This window comes from Homo sapiens, chromosome 7 (assembly GCF_000001405.40).
Source record: "Homo sapiens chromosome 7, GRCh38.p14 Primary Assembly".
NCBI classification, from domain to species: Eukaryota; Metazoa; Chordata; class Mammalia; order Primates; family Hominidae; genus Homo; species Homo sapiens.
In genome coordinates this window covers 14,110,065-14,113,092 of record NC_000007.14, presented here as the reverse complement: position 1 = coordinate 14,113,092, position 3,028 = coordinate 14,110,065, and the positions used below count along the sequence as shown (strand labels likewise).

Genomic DNA, 3,028 nt, shown 5'->3' with positions numbered 1-3,028 from the left:
AACATCATTTCAGTAAAACTGAAATTAGTCTTCTCCTTGTTCCAAGTGTTATGATCAAATAAGTGAATTCATGCAAAAACATCTTTGAAATCAGTAAAGAGTAAGAGAGTAAGAGTCCATATTAATAATTGGTACTCCTCAGCACCTAGTTTAAAAGGCGTAAGCTGGCTCCTGCTTGTGTATTTTTATCTGCCTATAAGACTGTCCATTTTTGTTGGTCTGAATTATTGGACATATGTGGAGCTCATAAAATTGTCTTCCATGCCTTGATGTTTGCATATGTACTATATTTATTTGCTCTGTTTTAGCTCTGAACCCACAGAAAAAAAACAGGCCTTCCTTACCTATACTAATTGTCCTCATGTTTCCCCCTTAACCATGTTCAAGCCGGCTTGCCATATCTATCCAATATAAGAAGAATCCTGATCTTCCACTCTTGTTCATCTCTGGACCTGTGCTAGGAACCACCCGATGTTAAATTAAATAAAGAATTAAAAGCAACACACTTTCTAGTACATGTTGTTCATATCATCATGGATGTAAAAGAAATACAACATTTTATAAAGGTAATTCAGCCCATATTTATTACTCAATTTATTCCTTTGTGTAATATCACTAATAATATAAATCCCACTAATATTTGTACTCTGTATCAGGGACGATTCTAGGTGCTAGAAATAGAGTAGTGAAAAGAGCAAAAGCTCTATCTTCACAAGACTTTTAGTTTAGTGAGTGGGTACAGGCAATAGATAAACTGCATCAAACACACAGCATAATAGACAGTGTTATCAAGAAAACAGAAGAAGGGAATGATTGCAGGGAGTACATGGAAGTGCAATTTTAAATAGAGTTGACAAAAAGTCTTCATGGAGAAAGTGACATTCAAGCAAAGATCTGGTGGAAGTAAAAAATGCCACATGAATATCAACGGAAATGCAAGTGTCAGGAGAGGAAACATCCAATGCAAAGGCTCTGATGTGGGAGCATGTCCGATTTGTTTAAAGAAGAGTAAGGAAGCCAATGTGGTTGAAACAAAGTGAGCAAGGTGGAATTGTAGCAGATGAGGCCAGAGGTTTTAACAGGAGTCTAGATCGTTTCCGATAACTTGGCTTTTTTTTTTTTTTTTTTTTTTTTTTTTTTTTGAGACGGAGTCTCGCTCTGTCGCCCAGGCTGGAGTGCAGTGGAGTCTCAGCTCACTGCAAGCTCCACCTCCCGGGTTCACGCCATTCTCCTGCCTCAGCCTCCCGAGTAGCTGAGACCACAGGTGCCTGCCACCACGCCCAGCTAACTTTTTGTATTTTTAGTAGAGACAGGGTTTCACCGTGTTAACCAGGATAGTCTTGATCTCCTGACCTCGTGATCCACCTGCCTCAGCCTCCCAAAGTGCTGGGATTACAGGCGTGAGCCACCGCGCCCGGCCATAACTTGGCTTTTACTTGAGATGACATGGAAAGCCTTTGAAGAATGATGAGCAGAGAGTTGATCTGATCCAATTTATGTTTATAAAAAGCTATGGACAGTTGTGATAAGAACAAACTGAAGGGGTTCATGGCAGATGCTGGCGGACTGGTGGAGAGGCTTGAGAATGATAGTAGTGGATTGGACAGGGGTGGTAGAAGAAGATATGGTGAGAAATGATGATATTCTGGATATATTTTGCAGACAGAGCCATAACAATTCGCTGACAGACTGATTTATGGTATTAGAGAAAGAGGATGATTCAAGGAATTTTGGCATGAGCAACTGGAAGGATGGAATTGTCTCTAAGTGATGAGAAAGACTGAAGAAAAATCAGCTTTTAGAATGAAGAATATAAGGAATTTATTTCTGAATATGTTAATATTGAGATGTCCATTAGACCATTAGACGTCCAGGTGAAAATGTCAAATAGGCAGTTAATTATGCAAGTTGGAAATTCAAGGATGAGTTCTCGGTTCATTTAGGATTAGTCAAGATTTGATTATCTTAAAGTTGATATTTTATTAAACCTAAAGCTCAAGTGTGAATTAAAAACAAAAGACGGAACCCTGGAACACTTTAATTTTAGATAGGCACACAGAGGAGATATCAGCAAAAGAGCTTGAGAATGAGCAACCTGTAACTCAGGAGGAAAACCATGACAGTGGAGTATCTTGAAAGCCAAGTGAAGACAGCATTTTCAGGACAAGAGGCCCTTCAACTCTGTCCAATGCTGTTGATAGACCAAAGATGGTACTAAGAATAGGCACAATGCAGAGGTATTGGTAACTTTGACAAGAGTGATTTCAATGGAGTTGTAAGCATGAAAGCCTGACTATGGTGAATTCAAGGAAAATAAAGGCAAGGAAATTAGAGAGTGCTGGTGAAAACTGTTTTGAGAAGTTTTCTTTTAAGTAATGGAAAAATCTAGTGTGGTAACCAGGGAGAGGTGAAAGATCTAAGGAGAATTATTTTAAGGTGGGAGATACATAGAAAATTTGATTTATGAGAACAATTTCAATAGAGAGAAAAGAAACAATGACACAGCAAAGAGAGATTTTCTTAAGCAATATACTTGAGTGGGCACACAGAAACTGGCACATAGATGGAAGAATTGGCCAGTGCTTACAGTAGAGATAGGCTTCAGGAACAGACACAGTTCACAGGCTCTGGTAATGATGGACAAATGTGCTTGCTGAGGCTTTCTGTAATTCTCTTTTGAGTGCTTCAATATTCTCAGAAAAATAGCATGTTGGGTCATGGACTGAGAATAAGCAGAAAGGAGTAGGTGTTGAAGATTTGAAGAGAGGAAAGACAATTTGAAATAGTCATCAAGGAAAATGGGAGAGTGACTAGATTAGGAAACCACAACGTGAATTCTAGGCATCATTAAAAGCTCACTTTAAATTTGTGGTCATGTTTAAAGTGATGTGGTGTGCTTTTCTCCAGCCAGCTTTCTACTGGGCAGAAGTAGAAGGGAGACAAGTTAGATGTATATGTGACACACACTGGCTTTGCCGAGAGAGTACAACAAAGACAAAAGCTTATGTTCCAAAGTCTAGTCAGATGG

At 39.0% G+C, this 3,028-nt stretch overlaps 1 annotated feature.

The window, feature by feature from the left end:
- Positions 1,462–1,662: a silencer, noted in NCBI's record as "peak6403 fragment used in MPRA reporter construct". NCBI's record gives its function as "represses an SCP1 promoter by STARR-seq MPRAs in K562 erythroleukemia cells {active_cell/tissue: K562}" and the evidence as "EXISTENCE:reporter gene assay evidence [ECO:0000049][PMID:32103011]".